Source organism: Homo sapiens, chromosome 9 (assembly GCF_000001405.40).
Source record: "Homo sapiens chromosome 9, GRCh38.p14 Primary Assembly".
Classification (NCBI taxonomy): Eukaryota; Metazoa; Chordata; class Mammalia; order Primates; family Hominidae; genus Homo; species Homo sapiens.
The window spans coordinates 64,391,752-64,412,538 of NC_000009.12; the positions used below are offsets into that span (position 1 = coordinate 64,391,752).

A 20,787-nucleotide genomic window follows, 5' to 3' on the forward strand; every position below is an offset into this window, starting at 1 on the left:
AATCCCAGCAGTTTTGGAGGCCGAGGTCGGTAGATCACCTGAGGTCAGGAGTTCAAGATCAGCCTGGCCAACGTGGTGAAACCCTGTCTCTAAAAAAAACCAAAACCAAAACAAAACAAAACAAAACAAAACAAAAGCAGAAAAATTAACCAGGCGTGATGGTGCATGCCTGTAATCCCAGCTGCTCAGGAGGCCAAGGTGGGAGAATCGCTTGAACCCGGGAGGCGGAGGTTGCAGTGAGCCAAGATCGCACCATTGCACTCCAGCCTGGGTGACAGAGCAAGACTACATCTTAAAAAATAAAATAGCCACTCAAAGTCCTCATATCATATTCTGAAATTTTGAATTTCAGAAGGTTTTCTATTTAGTTGTTTAAATAATCATTGGAAGCTCCTGCATACCGTAAGCTACTGGAGGTCAGTAAACATATTTGTGTGTATCCTGGAGTACCTAGAATACAGTCTTCCATGTAAGAAGCATTCTAGTTGTTGTTTTTTGAGATGGGGTTTCACTCTGTCCCCCAGGCTGGAGGGCACTGGTGAGATCTTGGCTCACTCCAATCTCCATTTCCTGGGCTCAGGTGATCCTCACACCTCAGCCATCCAAGTAGTTTAAACAATAGAGCTATGTCACCATAGACCTGTGTCACCATGCTCAGCTGAGTTTTGTAGAGACAGGGTTTTGCCTTGTTGCCCAGGCTGGTCTTTAACTGTTGGGCTCAAGTGTTCTGCCTGCCTCAGCCTCTCAAAGTGCTGGGTTACAGGCATAAGACATTCAGCCTTAATAGTTGTTTAATCTGAATAAATAGACAAATGAATTTTTATATAATGGAATGTTATAAGTAATATAATAAACCTAATGTATCTAATAATTAAATATTGTATTTAAAATATTGCTTACATTGTATTTTTTAATATTTAAGGGTGTATAAGTTTTGATATGTTATGTTGAGAAATTATGCCATAATTAAAAAGGAAATAAAATAGAAATAGGTCATCAGTAGCAAATAGGGTTACAATATATTTTCTAGTATCATTCAACTGGAATCTTAACATTGAGATTTTAGATTAACATTTCTTAAGCTTTTTATTAGCTCTAACTCATGTTCTATTAAATATATGTTTTCAAGCCATACATTACTCTTTATTATTCTTATACTGTAAGTTCTAGGGTACATGTGCACAATGTGTGGGTTTGTTACATGTGTATACACGTGCCATGTTGGTGTGCTGCACCCATTAACTCATCATTTACATTAGGTATATCTCCTAATGCTATCCCTCCCCCCTTGTCCGCCCCACGACAGGCCCCAGTGTGTGATGTTCCCCATCCTGTGTCCAAGTGTTCTCATTGTTCAATTTCCACCTATGAGTGAGAACATGCAGTGTTTGGTTTTTTGTCCTTGCGATAGTTTGCTCAGAATGATGGTTTCCAGCTTCATCCATGTCCCTACAAAGGACATGAACTCATCCTTTTTTATGGCTGCATAGTATTCCATGGTGTATATGTGCCACATTGTCTTAATCCAGTCTATCATTGATGGACATTTGGGTTGGTTCCAAGTCTTTGCTATTGTAAATAGTGCCGCAATAAACATACGTGTGCATGTGTCTTTATAGCAGCATGACTTATAATCCTTTGGGTATATACCCAGTAATGGGATGGCTGGGTCAAATGGTATTTCTAGTTCTAGATCCTTGAGGAATCACCATACTGTCTTCCTCAAAGGATGAACTAGTTTACAGTCCCACCAACAGTGTAAAAGTACTCCTATTTCTCCACATCCTCTCCAGCACCTGTGGGTTCCTGACTTTTTAATGATCGTCATTGTAACTGGTGTGAGATGGTATCTCATTGTGGTTTTGATTTGCATTTCTCTGATGGCCAGTGATGATGAGCATTTTTTCATGTGTCTGCCATACGTTACTCTTTAGAATTCTGGTGACCAATTTTTTTCTGGGTGGAAAGTTGATTGAAAGTTCTAGTTTTCTCTCTGTGTTATAATAATGTTCTTTCAGGTAGTGGTCGATGACCATATTTAGCTAATTGAATGTCTTATAGTAATAAACTGTATCACAGAAGTACTTACAAAAAACTAATTGTAGCATAAATATTAATTAGTATTATCAGGGATATGAAAGAGCAAAAGGCTCTGTTATAGATCTATTTCCCCATGTACTTTATTGTACTTCATGTTGTTTCTTTTCTTTCTTGGCTTAAGCTCATATTTCATTGACCAATTAGGCTTGTTTTTTGTTTGTATCTCTCTTCATTCTCATATTTTAAATTGAAATTTTTGGGGAGTCAGGGTCTTGCTCTGTTGCCCATGCTGCAGTGTAGTGGCATGATCTTGGCTCACTGCAGTATCCACCTCTCAGGCTCAAGTGATCCTCCCACATCAGCTTCCCAAGCAGCTGGGACTACAGGCGCACACCATCATGCCTGACTCCTTTTGGTATTTTTTGAGTAGAGATGTGTTCTCATTATGTTGCCCAGGCTGGTCTCAAACTCCTGAACTCAAGCAATCCACCCACCTTGGCCTTGCAAAGGGCTGAGATTACAGGTGTGAGCCACCATGCCTGGGCAACATTGAGATTGATTTAAAGAAATTGATTAGGGCTGGGTGTGGTGGTGCACACTGCTTATCTCAACACTTTGGGGGGCAGAAGTGGAAGATTTACTTGAGCCCAGGAGTTTGAGACCAGCCTGGGCAGTATAATGAGGCCTTGTCTCTGCAAAGATAACAATAAAAACATTAGCATGGCATGAAGGGACGCACCTGTAGTTCCAGCTATTCAGGAAGTTGAGGTGGGAAGATTGCTTGAGGTCAGGAGTTTGAGACAACAGTGAGCCATAATCAGGCCCCTGCATTCTAGCCCTGGGTTGACAGAGTGAGACCCAGTTTCATAAAAAGAGATTGATAAGAAACTCTTGATGCAACTCATTATAATTTTAAAATGGAAACTAATTCTTGATATTACCTTAGCAGTGTGTCCCCGAGAAAGTGTCAGAGCCTTTACCTGGATCTTCGCATGAAAAAGGAAACAGAATAGTCAATGGACAAGGAGAAGGTGAGAACCGTATTTTATTTAAAAAGTCTTTTGATGGAGGCCGGGTGCGGTGGCTCACGCCTGTAATCCCAGCACTTTGGGAGGCCGAGGCGGGCGGATCACGAGGTCAGGAGATCCAGACCATCCTGGATAACATGGTGAAACCCCATCTCTACTAAAAATACAAAAAACTAGCCAGGTGTTGTTGTGGGCACCTGTAGTCCCAGCTACTCAGGAGGCTGAGGCAGGAGAATGGCTTGAACCCGGGAGGCGGAGCTTGCAGTGAGCGGAGATACCACCACTGCATTCCACCTTGGGTGACAGAGCGAGACTCCGTCTCAGAAAAAACAAAACAAAAAAAGTCATTTGATGGAATGTTTCTTTGAAAATATGAGCTAAAGAAAGTGTCCTATTTCTTTAGCTAAAATAGCTAAAGAAAGTGTCCTATTAACTGTATAATAAGTAAAGGAGAAGTGAAATGGTGATAAGTTGTGTCTCTAACCAAGGGTCAGCAGTTGATTCTATTGGGAGTACCACTAAAGGAGCTGAGTTGTGAGTTCCATTTTAAGATACTCTAAGACCTGAGGCAAGTCAGGAGAGAGGGAAGAGGAAATGAATAAAGAGAAAGAAAGAATGAGGAGAGCGGATTGTACATGGAATAAATAAAAAAGCATATGCAGAGGTAAGTAAGAGAGGATAGTAAAGGCAAATTGATCTGTAGAAGAAGGAAGAACATGGTGTTAGAAACAGGAAAGAAGATAAAGTGAGCTTCCAGTACCAAAATGTGTCAGAGAATTACAGTAACATTTTCCTTCTCTTGCTGTCATCCTCACTACTGGGGAGGCATTAAGGATTGAGGCACCTCACCACACAGACCTGTGTTTTATCTACCATAGATGAACATCACCAAAGATGGTCAGCCATGTATGGCTATAATTTGTTTTTATAGAAAATGTTGTAACCTCATAGGATAGTATCATATAGGCCAAATTAACATAATTGAATAGTGTTGGGTGATTTATGGAGAAGAAATTAATTCAAGAAGTTATTGCCTGATTAAAAGTTCATTAGAAACATTATGGCTTATAATGTAGTATTAAATTGAGGGACATAATAGGGAAGAAATTGAGGCTAGGCCAAAAGGGCAATTAGGGGAAACCAATATGGAAGCACATCAGTGTAGAACAGGGCATTCAAATTGTCATGAATGAGTTGAAGAGCTTCTGGAAGGTGCACATTCTGATTCAGCAGGTATGGGAGTCTGCATTTCTCATGAGTACTCAGGTGATTTTTGGTGCTGGTCCTTGGACACAGCTCTGAATAGCAAGGGAATAGCCTTCCTTTAGAGAACTCTGGAAAAAGAACCATTGGAGAGCAATTTAAAAAATAACAGAATCCAGGGAAAGCATTAATTTCCTTTTATTTCTGAGCATGATTCTAGCCACAGGGGAAGGAGAATGAGATGAAAACAGAGAGATTACAGGTGTATACTACTGCTGAATACAGATGAAAAAAGTGGTCACAATTATCCATAAAAAGCAGTTAGGAAGGGAAGCATCAGGATGACAGTTCTAAAAATCACTTTTTCAAAGGAAGAGGGATTGTGAAAGGACACGGAGGGAGGAAAGAAAGACATTTGCTGGGGTCTTGGGAGTTGAAGCCAAGTAAACTTGAGACAACTCACTTCCAGTTGCTTCAGCATATGCCCAGTCTCACAAAAGAGGTTATTGCTGTGGAGAGTACTGGAGGCAGGAGGGAGTGCTAGAGTTGGGGTAAACCACAGCAGCTCATTTCACTTGATAACTGTCAGGCCTCAGAGAGAGAAGTTTCACTGACATGAGTGAATAAGATGTGATTAAGTTGCATATAGATGCTTTGGCTAATTTTTTTTGATATTACAAAATTCATTCGGTGAATACCAAAATTCTCTTTTTCAATAAATACTGCACTGATTTTGAAATATAAATATGTATTCATATCCAGCAAGTCTGTGGTAATTCAGTGTTTTCTTTTTTGATAAATATTTTGATATCGGAAGCTTATTCGACATGGTTTATTTTATGTGTTTTATGGACCGCCTTGCATGAGTGGATCAAGGAGCTCTAACTCAAGGCCAAATGAGGGGATAGGAGAAATGTAGGTGCTGCAGTAGCCCATGTGATCATGGGAAAAATGAGTAGTTTGATTAGCTGTCATTTCATAAGTGTGTATACTAGCTGATCAATGTAGAACACTTTCTTTGATGAGAGGTGAATCACACTTTCACCTGAACTGTCATCCCAACTGTGTATTTCCTCAGTGACAAGACGAGGGGAATTTGTTTGTGGCATGCTGGCAGCAATGCCTCTGCTGTGTTGAGTTAAAATACTCTGTACATTCACCATCAGCTTTGACGTCGATTCCCTCAGGTTTGATTTGCTCCTCTGTTTAATGGTCCCTTTTCTCCTCATCAGTCCACGTGTTCACGGTGATATCCATGCTTTTCTATTTTAGGTATAGGCATTTGAAACATAATCTCACTACTGAAATGTAAACTGTGCATTTTAGGAATCCTATATTCCTATTTTCCTCATTATGTTTCTGTCATGTTGCCGTCCTAGGCAATGAAAAGATGCCAAGAAGAACCCTCAAAACCTTAAGTAATTATTTTTATAGCCAGGCATGAGAATTCAGCTCGATAGTACCACTGCATGAATGTTTGGTTGGCCCTGTCATACTTACATATAATTGATGACATATCCCCTTTGCTTTGTAGGGCCTCCTGCAAAACATCCTTCCTTGAAGGTAATTAATTATGTATATTTTTGAATCACTAACTCCATGTTGTATAAAATATATATGATTTATGAATCATTTTCTTTTAAAACCCATTCAGCCTAGCACTGAAGTGGAAGATCCTGCTGTGAAAGGAGCAGTACAAAGAAAGAATGTACAGACATTGAGAGCAGGTACATTTAATGGAATACTGGAAATAAGTACATTCAATGATTGGAAGTACTCACATTATTCTTATTCCTAATTCTATTTGTTCAAAATTGAATGGAAGGCATTGACATAAATGTTATTGTTGGTATCCATATTTGAATAAAAATAAATTTAGAAGCATAAAAAAGATTTTAAAAATGTAAGCTTTAACTCAGATGTTTCTCTTTTAATGTTTTTGAATAGCATGAAGTTTTCAGTATAAAATTTTTATACCTGTCAGGGATTCAAAGAAGTGAATTTTGAGACTCTGAGATATTTCCAATGAGTTAAGTGCTACTTGGAGTTCTGAACTTTACCTAGAGGAAAGCTTTACTTATTAACATGTCAGATTCTGTTTTAACTTTAGAGGCTTGCTGCTAGTGTTATTACACTGATGATCTGAAGCCAATCAGATGTTCTAATGAGCAAGACTGTGTGTGTAGGTGTATATATAGCTGTGTGTATGTGTGTGTTTGTGGTATCTTTGACTATTAAAAATGAGGAAAGTAATGATTCATTTATAACTGGTAGACACAGTCTTTTAAAATGGTGATTTTGAGACTTTTTGGTGTTAAGGTTTTTAAAACATGATTGCATAGAGGCTACCGACATCATAAGTTGGTTGTTTTTCATTTCAATGCCCTTTTGAAATCTTTAACTATATTGTGATGCTCAGAAATAATATGCAGAATTTTTTATTTGTGTCCCAAAATGGTATGTGAGTGGTTATACACTTTACATACCTTTCTGCCACTTTCTTTGGTGTATTTTGTATTATATTTTCCAGATGTATCCACATTGATATGATTATCTCTGGTTTAATTCATTTTACACTTTTCATTGTATTCCCTTATACCACTTTACCACATTTAGTTAGACTCTCCTGTTGCTGATAAATGAAGAAAGAAAGAAAAAGAAAAATAATGTCAGATTAAGTGGGCTTTTCTTTAATCAGTTTGTATCTATTAATATTTACTATATGAGAGTTTAAAGTTGAAAAGTTCAGAATACAAGCATGCACCACCATATTTTATAAATGCCCTTAGAACTGTGACTCATGAGCCTTTAGCCTATGAAGTTAGGACAATTCATTTCTCTGAAGAAGTTTGTTGTGCTGTTCTCAGAAAAGAAAACTGAAAATAGCAAATGATATTGTCTTATTTGACCTCTTGGACATCTTTGAATGAAACTGCAACTCCAGGGATACTCAGATCAAAATTCAGAACTAATGTTTTGAACAATATAGTTTGTGAATGTCCAGTGGATCATGAGCCCTTGATGGGAAAATGACCTTTCAAGTTTCACTTTTGCATTTTTTTGCTCTTTTCCTTGACTTGTCTTAAAAGCTTAAATTCAACCGTTTTATTTTTACAGAAACCGGGAATATAACTTTTAAAATTTATGTCTGTCCTGTCTCACGGTGTTGTGTACTCTTCAGATCTTGTGTGAATATAGACTTATGTGGGAACAATTAGGTGTTTTGTTTGTTTGTGTTTTTGAGACAGAGTCTTGCTCTGTCACCAAGGCTGCAGTGCAGTGGCTCGGTCTTGACTCATTACCACCTCTGCCTCTCGGGTTCAAGCAATTCTCCTGCCTCAGCCCCTCGAGTAGCTGATACTACCTGCATGTGCTACCATACCCTGCTAAATTCTCTATTTTTAGTAGAGATGGGGTTTCACCATGTTGGCCAGGCTGCTCTCAAACTCCTGATCTCAGGTGATCTGCCTGCCTCAGCTTGCCAGTATGCTGGGATTACAGGCAGGAGCCACTGTGCCAGGTACAAATAAGATTTTTAAGGCTATTATATTTTATACAATTCTTTGGTCTATGTGAATTCTGAAGGTATTCATGCATTGAGGGAAGATCATCTCAGTTTAATGAAAGCAGTTTTTAATGTATATTCATTAAAAATTTTTTTGAAGTTTTTGTCTCTAGTACACAGAAACACACAATATTGTCATGGGTATTTGACCTTAATGTGTTTATGCACAAACTTAGTTATTCAAATATTTTCTTATCCCTGAAGAATCCTAATTATTAATAAAAAAATTTCTCATGGAAAACAACATATATAATAGAGATTATTGAGTGATAAAGTAAATTGTAGTAAATAACAGAAGCTTAGAACAAGTTAAGTAAACTTGTCTGAGTTAATAGCAATTACAGGACTTTTAAGATACATTAGACCATGAGGGAGTAGTGTGTTTGTGGGGTAGAGGACATCATGGTCCTGCTTCAGTGAAGAAAGAACTTTTACACCTTATTACAATTTGTATTACTATTTACATTCTAATAAAAACTTTATTTTCAGATATTTTAGATTATGTTTCTACTAGTTGAACCATCAATAGTAAGACTTTTCAAAGATTTGGGAAGTTGTGAGTTGATGATAAATATCTGTATCACCATTCGTGATCAAAAATCAGACAGCAACTACAAGACTTTGGACACACGAACTTCATAGTTAAAGAAAGGATTAATCTTGGAGCTGTGTTTTTATCAGGGAATTATACTCTTCATTACCTCTGTGAATCGCACTTATTAGAGTAGAAAGAGAGCAAAGAAGGGAAACAAACATAGAAAATTTTATTCTAGATTACCTCAGTTGGCTTCATGCTACCATAGTTCTGGCTTTTAAAAAGTCATCTTGTGGTCAAATGTACTTTGGTTTACTCCCTTTATGCAGCCTACAACCAAACAAAATGCTTCTTAGCAAGGCATTTGTATTCTTCCCTTAAGGAAAGCAACATATAAATAACAAAGAGAATGAGGAGAAAGAGTAATTTCATTGAAGTTGGTATTTAACATAAATTTGTGTGCGGGTACCATGATTATATTTAGAATTTTGGGCCTGGAATAGAAAACCAGCTAGACGTCTACAGATTTCCTACTCAAACACAATGTGCCTTTGTTTTATTTTTACATCTGTAATTTTGCAATTATTAGGTACAACTGTATGCAGTGTCACTAAAAATACCTTCCAAAACCAAATATTAAATAATGCCTATGGTTTTCTGTATTATAATGTTGATTTCCCCAATATTAATGGGAACCATTGAGCATTTGCCTTGGGGTGTCTCCTCAGCTGTATTCACACATTCCATCACCTTGTCTTAATGGATAATCATGCACTATGAGTATGGGTTTTCAGAAGAGCTGTATCATTTAAAGATAACACAGGAGCATCAAATTTAATTCTGCTAGAATACTTGGTCTATTGATTAACTGCAGCTAATATGGGGTCTACTTCACATACAAGTTAAATTCAGTGCCCTTAATCAGTCATATGGTCAGGTCAACAGTAATAAATTATGCAATATTTTTTCACCCCTATAGTTTTAATTTCTCTTTCCCCTTATGTCTAGAATTAACATTTTATTTTACAAAACATGATGATAATCTTCTAGAGTAGTGATGACAAAGTATAAATCCAAAGTTTCTTACCTATGCAAATGACGTGTTTGCTTCTATTTTCTCATGAGCTTGGTAGATCCAGGAAACAGAACTTTTAAAACAAAATCCCCATATGTGGCTGGGCGCGGTGGCTCGTGCCTGTAATCCCAGCACTTTGGGAGGCTGAGGCGGGCAGATAACCTGAGGTTGGGAGTTTGAGACCAGCCTGACCAACATGGAGAAACACATCTCTACTAAAAACACAAAATTAGCTGGGCATGGTGGCACATACCTGTAATTCCAGCTACTCGGGAGGCTGAGGCAGGAGAATCACTTGAACCTGGGAGGCAGCAGTTGCGGTGAGCTGAGATTGCACCACTGCACTTCAGCCTGGGCAGCAAGAGTGAAACTCCATCTCAAACAACAACAACAACAACAACAACAACAGCAACAGCAACAACCACCACAAAACCCAAATGCATTTCCTTGGCACAGTAAAACTGAAACAGAAAAAGTGTAAAGTAAATACAAGTAACTGAAACAGTTTATGTATATTATTTTACTTCTCATTTGATAAAATTTGTAAAGTAATGAGCAGAGTGTATTTCTCCAGGGACCCAGATATATACATTTATTCATTCAATAAAAATTCATGCTTACAATGGCCACTGATACTTATGTCCTAAATATTTCTGAAAACATCTCCTCAGGCCTGCATCATCTTTGCAACACTGCCTTATATTTTATCTTTGTTCATTGATTTATATGCCTCAGAATTTTATGCTCCTCACAATAATTAGAGTTAATTATCTCTAATGCAAATAGAACTGTGAACCACTCCTGAATACCTATGTCCAAGCATCTTAAAGTTTTATATAAGGATTTCAGAAACTGATTTCTGGGTTGGGCATGGTGGCTCGTGTCTATAATCCCAGCACTTTGGGACGCTGAGGCAGGTGGATCATTTGAGGTCAGGAGTTCAAGACCAGCCTGGCCAACAAGGTGAAACCCCATCTCTAATAGAATACAAAAATTAGCAGGTGGTAATGGCACATGCCTGTAATCTCAGCTACTTGGGAGGCTGAGGCAGGAGAATTACTTGAACCTGGGAGGCCGGGTTGCAGTGAGCCAAGATCATGCCACTGCACTCCAGTCTGGGAGACAGAGTAAGACCTTGTCCCAAAAAAAGAAAAGAAAAGGAAACTGATTTCTGCCCAAATCTCCATCTGTAGCCCTTTCCCCATCTGCCTTTTTCTCTGGAATTACTGAGCTGCTGGTAATGGCCCCCTCACCATTCCTCTTTTGCAGAGAAATATATACTCTCTTGGAGGCTTCTCTCCCTCTCTTGTTGCTGCCTGGCATGTGCTCACCCTTTCCTGCCCTCTGCCTCACTTAATCTGGCTAACCTTACTCTCTAAGTCTCAGCTCATGCATGATCTTTAGGAAAGCCATCCCTGACAGCTTTTATTTTCCTTCCTTATACCCCAGTGCCTAACACTTAGCAGGAACTCAATAAGTAATTATTTAGCAAAATTAAGACTGTTTATACAAAGATGATTCAAAAGATTGTCCTCTACAGTCTAACAGCAAAGGGGATCAACATGTAAAGACATGATGTGCAGTTCAGGTGGTAAAGTGACGCTGGAAAATTTGACAAAGTACTAAGGGACTCCAATGAAGCAGACACCTGTGTGTGTGGAGAAAGACAGCTAGAATCAAGGAAGACTTCACACAGCATTCTGAGCCTTTTTTTTTTCTTTTTCTGTTGTTGGAGACAAGTTCTTACTCTGTCACCCAGGGTGGAGTGCAATGGTGTGATCGAGACTCACTGCAACCTCAAACTCCTGGGCTCGAGGGATCTTCTCACCTAAGCTTCTTGAGTAGCTGGGACTACAGGCACATATCACCATACCTGTCCAATTTTTTGTAGAGTCAAGGTTATCTATGGTTCCCAGGCTGGTCTTAAACTCCTGGCCTTGAACAATTCCCCCATTTTGGCCTTCCAAAGTGCTGGGATTACAGATGTGAGCTATTATGCCCAGCCTACTTTCTGAGTCTTAAAAGATGAAAATAAATTTTTCAGAATAGTAGGGGAAAACATTTGCGATGTAAAAAATGGGGTGCACACTAATTAAGGTATAAACAACAATAATTTTGCAAATTATTAGTAACTGCCAACTCAATTAGTGTCTTGTTAAAAAGATACTGTTATGAAGTAAAGTGTTACATTGTATATTTTGACTGTATTTCAAAATTTTGTTTTGTTTCTAACAGTTTTGTTGATTTATGTTGGGTGGAACAATTTGTGAGTGACCCTGAGATTTCATATGGCTTGAACCTGGTGATTTCTAATGTCTCCCCAAGTGGTTTGTTGAAGTTTTGGATGATTAGAAGTATTTCTTAAAGAACTAAATATTTCAGTAAACATTAAGCTTCATTGAAACTCTCAAAATATAAAATACAAAGAAATGTTATTCTCTATTTATTTTTATATAGATTATAGTCTTTATCTAACTGTTCTTAGTTCATTTGAACTAAACCAATGAATTTGTCAACAGAACAAGCCTTACCAGTGGCTTCAGAGGAAGAGCAACAAAGGCATGAAAGAAGTGAAAAGAAGCAACCACAGGTATATGAAAATTTAAGTTTCTTGTTTAATATTGGGTTTTGTTTTTTTGCTTCAGTAACAAAGCATAGTCCAAATGACATGACCTTTTAGACTATACCTTTAGAATCCAATAGCTCATAATTTTATATTTAATTTTTAAAACATTTTAACCAGTTATGAAACTTAAGATATTCTTACTATCTCTAGTAACTATTAGTTATTCTGGTAATTCTTACTATCTCTAGTAACTCATAGCTGTCTTTACCCTTGGAATTGAGGCAAGACATTTTCAGAATTATCTTGCTCTTTTATTGTTATAACCTTACTCATAATACAGAAGGTAACATGAAATATTGGGTCATATTATTAAGGAATAGAAATTGTGAACAATTTAACAATGATGGCCACTGAGTTAAACTAGTGTTAAAGGAGTCATCATTGCCAGTGGTTCAAATGTTGCAGTTTTACATTGCTGGTCATCAGTGCCGAGGTTAAAGATTTATTCTGTTTTGTGGTCACGATTTGACTTCTGTGTCTGTGTTCAGGGAGTGAATGGGGTCATAAAAGTCAACCCAGTTGCCTATTAAGAGAATCCTACCTTGTGGAATGGGACCTTTGGTGTCAGGGTACAAACAATAACTTTATTTTGACATAAATACATAGTAAATGTTACTAAAATTTAAAAAATCCATCCACTATCACTAGTGGAACTTAAAATATATTAGAAGTGGATATAAGCAGATAATCCATCTAGATACATAACACTATCATAGTATATTATTTGAATTAGAATTTAAAATTTTGCTTCCCTTTCTTATTGGTGTTCAGTTTGGCTCTTAATAATTCAGTGTTTGCCTAGTCTGTAGTTAATCTTCAGAAATATACACGTACTGTAGGGGCTCACTTTTTCTGGTATGATGAGGTAAAATCTTTGTAAGAGAGGAAGATTTTATAATACTACCTATCAGCTTTGAATTCATTTCTGGTAGATTTTACACATAATGCATTAAGTTTAATCCAAACAAATGCTAAGAGTTCAGCTTGCCAGTTCATATTTCTGTCCTATGTTAAGCCAAGGCAAATTATTTTTCACTTTTTAGTTACAATCCCATAATTTAAGAGTGGCAACACATAGATTAAGTTTCACAGTTAAATTTTAATTATTTTCTAGTATTTTTGTTTATACTTGATTAAAGCTAATTTTAAAACATGCACTCTGACAGAAAAGGCATCTGAGAAACAAAACAAGCAAATTTGTTTTCCATTTTGCACCTGCCCAAAAAAAAAAAAAAGTCTCAAGAACCAGAACTGGGTAAGAATTGTGATAAAGGGAATAATCTGTCTGTATATTCACGACTTTCTTTAAAATTCATTACAAACAAGTTCAAGCTGAATATTGGTGAAAGTTTTGAAAACTCCAGAATTACTGCTTGCCCTGAGGAAGAGCTCCTACATAGTAACTCTAAAGAGGGATGAACAAAAAAGGAGTGCCCTCTAATCTGATGAATCAGGTCCCTGATTGTGAGGAGGAAGATGCATCTGGAGGGTCTAACTCTGTGGCATTCCAGGCAGCGCCTGAACAGAGGAAGCCCATGTCAAATGTCTTTTTATTCCATTCATACTCCAGGTCCCTGAAATACAGTTACCAGTCATCTTCTAAGCTTCATTTAAATGAAAATAAATCAGACTATAAAAATGATAGCAAACCAGACACATAGCTTGTTTCTAACACAGATGATGAAAATTTTTGTAATGATACTGAAACCAAAAAATTAAGGAACCCAGTAATTATGATTGAAATGAAAGATGATTAAGAGTTTGACATGCAAATGGCAAAAAATGTAAACCCAGATACCACTAATTGGAAATTGGACATTAGGCATTGGCCTCAGTCTAGAGATCCAGAAAGTCTTTTTGATTTGTTGTTTACCCACCCCAAAGAAATGAAGCATATGATTCAGATAGAAAGCCACAGTATTTCTGCTGCTACAGATACTTATAAAAACAGAAAACCAATACAGCGTTTATTCCAGCAGCCACTATATGGCAATCCCAGTGCTAACAACTACAGAAGCATGAATCTTGAATTATAAAATGTGAGTTATTCTTTGCCACATAGTGAGAGAACATCAAAAATATAGCTAGAAGACTTATGGGAAGATATTCCAAGGTCACCAACATGGCACATGAATAGATATGTAACAAACCTGCATGTTGTGCACATGTACCAGAACTTAAAGTATAATAATAATTAAAAAAAAGAATGAGGTAGGCATGTTACAAGTTGAGTTCCTGGCTTTGGAGAAAAGCAAGTCCAACTTCAAAAAGACAGAGGTTCACTTGCTGCTTCTTTTTCCTCTTTATCAATTATTTGATTTAGTCAAATTTTCTATTCAAGAAAATCTCATGTGTACAGTTACAGTGGGGTTATCTAAATGTGTAATTATGTGTCAAAGTAGATTAGTTCTGCTATCTAAATAATGGTTCTGGAGAATGTTCTCATAATGTTTGTTCATTAATCAACCTATGTCTCACTATCAGTCTTCCAAGTGGCGTATGAGCTGGGAAACTAATTAAGCCACATACCATGTGACCTTCTGAACCAGATCAACATAAAGAAATTGCTAAAGAAACAAGCTCTAGATTCTAGATTCTTTTTTCTTGTATTCATTTAGAGATGATTTACATTTATTTAATGATAGAATGGGAATACAATGGGAGGGAAGCAATGACTGAGACAAGCCACAAAAACACGTCTAGCCTTGAGAGTTGCAACGAATATTCCCAGCCAAATGAGTCTGTTTAATGTGTTTTCATGCATGCAAGTTTATCTGCTTAGCTCGAACTGTTTGAACTTACAGTCCCATCATGGTTATTTCCAATATTTTTGAAAACAAACATATACTTACACATATTTTAAAAAATCACCACTCTGCAATATTTCTGTTGTATCAGACCTTACGTTATGTTGTTTAATAAAGTATGGTAAGTTTTGGCATGTATGATTTTTATCATATAAGAAGCATAATTTCTTAGCCAAAAATTTAGCCTTTGACTCTAGTAGAAAGTTGAGTTCTGTACATTGTGTTCTAAAGATAGACAAAAATCTAGAGATTTTCTTCTTTCAAAGTAAAAGCAGATGAGGCCTTTTTCCACCCTCTGAGGCATTAAATTGCTTTGCTCAAGTTAGACTTTTAATATATCTAATTTGATAAATTTATCTGGTAATTTATGTAATTCAGCAATATGGAATTGTATCATGTTATATGGTGCCATGAAATGCTAGTGAATGCCACCTCAAGAGCTCTGGATGAAACATTTAATATGTCTTGGTTGGTTTGACTCCCATTATCAGTAGATAATGGGGTTAAAGTAGGTAACTGTACCATATGTTTTCCACCTATAAACTTTTGTGGTAATTGAATGTGAAATCTGGGAAGCATCTCATTTTCCAGAATTCTGCACTAGAAACTCAGCAGTTTCACTCTGCTTCTTTTGTTGTGGCAAACGTTGGTTCCCATAATTCAAAGAGAACCTTTACTTTTTTGATATCACAGGATTCAAAAAAAAAAAAAGAGAGATAAAAGGCAGTGGGGAAAAGAGTAGCTCAGTACAGAAAAGGGAAAACTTCTTTACTGTTCCTGAAGGCCTACAAGGTCACATCCTCTTAATCTGGCTATTTCATGTAAAATCCAGGTAGTAAAGACAGAAGACATATGTTATGCCTGTGTCCTTTTATTTCTCTGTTTCTGCCAGCCAGATAGCATAAAAATTTATACCAGATAGCAAAGAGTGGATGGGAATAAAAGCACAAAATGGAGAAGAGCCCTTTTTGAAATTTTAGAAAATGCTTCTATTCCCTCAAACAGAAATGAGCAGATTTGACAAAAATTTCGATGATAAAATAAAAGTATCTTATAATGATAATAATTATGTATAATGATAAAATTAAAGTAAGCACAAAATACTTTTATCATTAAAGTGGTGATAGTTAACCTGAATCAAGTAAAAAAAATCAGGGAAAAAGTTCTTTTTATTGAATAAAATAATAACAATTATTATTCATCTTTTATTAAAGGTCAAAGAAGGAAATAATACAAACAAAAGTGAAAAAATACAACTTTCAGAAAATATATGTGATAGTACATCTTCTGCTGCTGCTGGCAGATTAACCCAACAAAGAAAGATTGGGAAAACGTATCCTCAGCAATTTCCCAAGAAGCTGAAGGAAGAGCATGATAGGTAAGCCTATAGCAGTGTTTTTTTTTTGTTTGTTTGGTTTTGGGTTTTTTTTGTTTGTTTTTGTTTTTTTGAGATGGAGTTTCTCTCTTGTTGCCCAAGCTGGAGTTCAATGGTGTGATCTCAGCTCACTGCAACCTCTGCCTCCTGGGTTCAAGCGATTCTCCTGACTCAGTCTCCCTAGTAGCTGGGATTACAGGCATGTGCCACCATGCCCGGCTAATTTTTTGTATTTTTAGTAAAAATAGGATTTCACCATGTTAGCCAAGCTCGTCTCGAACTCCTGACTTCAGGTGTTCTGCCCACCTCGGCCTCCCAAAGTGCTGGGTTTACAGGAGTGAGCCACCGTGCCTGGCCGCCTATAGCAGTATTTCACAGGAGATAATTGTCATTGTGCTATAAACTAATTGAAAATTGGACTAATATTCCTTATGATTAACAAGTTTTATATTTTTACCAGGGGTATTTAGCCCTGCCTGGTAATCAGAAAAATGCAAATTAACATAAAATAAGATATATTTTGTAAAGTCATGCTGATATTTAAAAAGTAATTATTAGTGTTGGCAAATGTGAGGAAAAAGGCATTCTCATACACTGTTGGTATAGGAAATTAGTAAATTATTTCTGAAGGGTAACTTAGTGCTGTGTATCAAAATTTCAAATAGCCTGACATCCCTTTAACTCAACAACTCCACTTCTGGGGCTAGATTTCACAGGAAAACATAACTGGTGTGAACATACACACACTTATTAATATATAATTAACATGCATTAATTATATATTACACATAATGAACAATAGGTTAATGAATATATAAAATATATGTAATAAGAAGGTGAATTGAAAGTATTAAGAAAGAAATATAAAAAGTGTGGGGAAACAGATGTTAGACTCTTTAGCCTAGTTTTGGATGACAGTCATCTGCAGATATAGTTTGTGTGAGAGACATCTGAAGGTGTCATCTCACTCTGTAAATCATTTGGAGAAACACCTGCAATATTTCATAAAGATGAAAATTTATTTCTAGTGAACTTATATGCTTGTCAATAAATAGTAACTTTAAAAATTTAGTTGATTGTAAATGATCTTTTCTAATTAGGGAGTAATTATGACTGTGTGATTTAAAAAGGTAATTTTGAACCTGTAACTTTACTGAATTATCTCTGGTATCCTTTTTTATAATGTATATTAGAGTGACTAGTAACAAAAGCTTTAGCAGAATATTCTTTCCTTACTACTTTTCAAGTATATGCATTCATTTGAAGATGTTGAAGTGAGAAATTAAATATCTGAGAACTGCAAAGGAAAAATAATCCAGAACATAGAAATTTTGTTAAGATAATAAACAACATCTGCAGAGGTAGATAACAGGATGAACTCCTTATTTTTTAACAAAATGAATTTTAAGATAAATGTCTTTATCTGCAGATGCACCTTAAAACAAGAAAATGAAGAAAAAACAAATGTTAATATGCTGTACAAAAAAAATAGAGAAGAATTAGAAAGGAAAGAGAAACAATATAAGAAAGAAGTTGAAGCAAAACAACTTGAACCAACTGTTCAGTCACTAGAGATGAAATCAAAGACTGCAAGAAATACTCCAAATTGGGTAAATCAATCTTTGGTAAAAATTCTATATTTTAAACTTTATCTTATCACTGTTACTTATAATATCCACTTGATTTAATATATATTGTTTAGGTCTAAAACCATAAATGTTATCTCATTTTTAAAAATGAATGATGACACTTACAGGTACAATTATTAATATTTATTATAAATCTTGGCATCCACATAGGATATTATTTTATTACAAAGAGCTTTTGAAAACAATAATATGCCATAATTTATACTTAGTGATAACCTATTGATAAAAATTTTGTTCCAGGTAAAATTTTTCCTTGTACTTTCCCCTATTTCATATTGATTACTGCACCTAATATTATAAAGAGGAAACAGAAATTATTGCAATCGCAAATAATCTCATGATATTCTAAGAAGAGCTCTATAAATTTTATCTTATTTACTATTGGCGTTTTGAAATAAAAGTTTTCTTTCGTATTGATGTATTTACACCACAGAAGTAACTGTGATCTGTTGGAGAACTAGAAGTAGAGTCAGAAGTCCTGGGGAAAATCCTGTAGCTTGCTTATATTTTTAACATTTCTTTTTCAAAATTGTGGTAACTAGATGAGTTCATCAATGAATGTATATAGGAGTGACTAGTATAATGTCTAGTTTATGATTTAGTGAATGTAATTCTTATAACTGACTATAAAAGTGTTAAAAGAGTCAAACTGAAATAGAATGTTATCAGTGAAACAGAACTGTAATAACTCTGGGAAATTTTATCTGTCCAAATACGTGTGAACAAAAGTTCTTACTGTAGGGTGGTGTATGGGTTAGATATCAAAGTGTAAATGCAATTTTTTGATATATCTTAATTTAGCCAAATTTGTTAATGCTTTAATTTATGCTTTTGAGTTTGTTGTAATTCAGGGAAAGGCTTTTCCAATTCTGATATTCTTAAAAATTCTCTGGGGTGTGTGTGTGTGTTTACTTTTATAAATTCATTGACTCTAAATACATTTCTGAACTTTCTGGAATTTATGCTCTATAAGGTTCAAAGTTTTGCTTCAACTTTTTCTCCAGGTGGATATCCACTTATGGTAAACTTTTTAGTGGTACGGATGTGCAGGTTATTCTTTAACTTCAGAGGTAATCATGATATGTTATTTTATTGAGTACTAGCTAAAACTTTCTTTTGTTTTATTTAGGATTTTCATAATCATGAAGAAATGAAAGGTCTGATGGATGAAAATTGCATTTTGAAGGCAGATATTGCTATACTCAGACAGGAAATATGTACAATGAAAAATGACAACTTGGAAAAAGAAAATAAATATCTTAAGGACATTAAAATTGTTAAAGAAACAAATGCTGCCCTTGAAAAGTATATAAAACTCAATGAGGAAATGATAACAGAAACAGCATTCCGGTATCAACAAGAGCTTAATGATCTCAAGGCTGAGAATACAAGGCTCAATGCCGAACTGTTGAAGGAAAAAGAAAGCAAGAAAAGACTGGAAGCTGACATTGAATCTTATCAGTCTAGACTGGCTGCTGCTATAAGCAAACACAGTGAAAGTGTGAAAACAGAAAGAAACCTAAAACTTGCTTTAGAGAGAACACAAGATGTTTCTGTACAAGTAGAAATGAGTTCTGCTATTTCCAAAGTAAAAGATGAGAATGAGTTTCTTACTGAACAACTTTCTGAAACACAAATTAAATTCAATGCCTTAAAAGATAAGTTCCGTAAGACAAGAGATAGTCTCAGAAAAAAGTCATTGGCTTTAGAAACTGTACAAAACAACCTAAGCCAAACACAGCAGCAAACACAGGAAATGAAAGAGATGTATCAAAATGCAGAAGCTAAAGTGAATAATTCCACTGGAAAGTGGAACTGTGTAGAAGAGAGGATATGTCACCTCCAACGTGAAAATGCGTGGCTTGTACAGCAACTAGATGACGTTCATCAGAAAGAGGATCATAAAGAGATAGTAACTAATATCCAAAGAGGCTTTATTGAGAGTGGAAAGAAAGACTTCGTGCTAGAAGAGAAAAGTAAGAAGCTAATGAATGAATGTGATCATTTAAAAGAAAGTCTCTTTCAGTATGAGAGAGAGAAAACAGAAGTAGTAGTAAGTATCAAGGAAGATAAATATTTTCAAACTTCTAGAAAGAAAATTTAAACATTTGGTTCTGGATACATGTTGAACTTAGTTGAATATAAAAATCTAGATTAAAAGTGTGTTTACCATACTGTATAATTCCATTTACATGAAGCATCCAGAAAAGATAAATGTATAGGGACAAAAAGTAGATTCATGTTTGCAAGGGGCTGGGGCTGGAAGCTGGTAGTGACTGCTAATGGGCATGAGGAATCTTACAGTGATGGAAATGCTCTAAAGTTGGATTGTAGAGATGGCTGCACAACTCAGTAAATGTACTAAAAATCTTTTAACTTTAAGTTAAAACAGATACATTCTATAGTATGTAAATTATATTTCAACAAAGCTGTTTTAATAAAAAAAGGAAAAATGTGTTTACTATATCGGCTTAGAAACATGCCTCATTTCTAGGAAATAAAAGATAGAGGTGAGAGATGATTTACTTTGAGAAAAGACATTGTGTCACCTATGAAATTTTATTAGGCACAGAGTCATATTTTAAGGTAGATAGTTCTGTACTGCTGAAATAGTAATTTTAATGTCTTTATGTTGCCACATGTTAAGACCATAATGTAGTTATAAATGGAAATGTTTACACCTGAAGTGAGTATTTTCAAATTAAAATTTAATTAAGTGATTTTCTTCGACACTTAATTCTAGATTCCCCAGATGAATTGAAGTGTATTGCTGTGTCTTGTAATACCTTGCTTTAACTAGCTTTTTATGTATTTTAGTTGGTATAGCTTTGTTATTATTCATATTAACAAATCTGAAAATATGTCAAATTACGTATTTTTATGA

The 20,787-nt window shown here is 35.6% G+C and overlaps 1 long non-coding RNA gene across 1 annotated transcript in view; it reads left to right on the forward strand.

Moving 5' to 3' along the window:
- The window catches only part of ANKRD20A4-ANKRD20A20P (ANKRD20A4-ANKRD20A20P readthrough), a 99,849-nt gene that overhangs the window by 22,358 nt on the left and 56,704 nt on the right, over positions 1-20,787 (forward strand). Inside the window, exons 9-15 of the long non-coding RNA NR_146419.1 lie at positions 2,990-3,071; positions 5,806-5,834; positions 5,926-5,998; positions 11,966-12,036; positions 16,094-16,257; positions 17,684-17,879; positions 19,033-19,956. This is a non-coding gene — a long non-coding RNA (ANKRD20A4-ANKRD20A20P readthrough). The remainder of the gene's footprint in view (positions 1-2,989; positions 3,072-5,805; positions 5,835-5,925; positions 5,999-11,965; positions 12,037-16,093; positions 16,258-17,683; positions 17,880-19,032; positions 19,957-20,787) is intronic.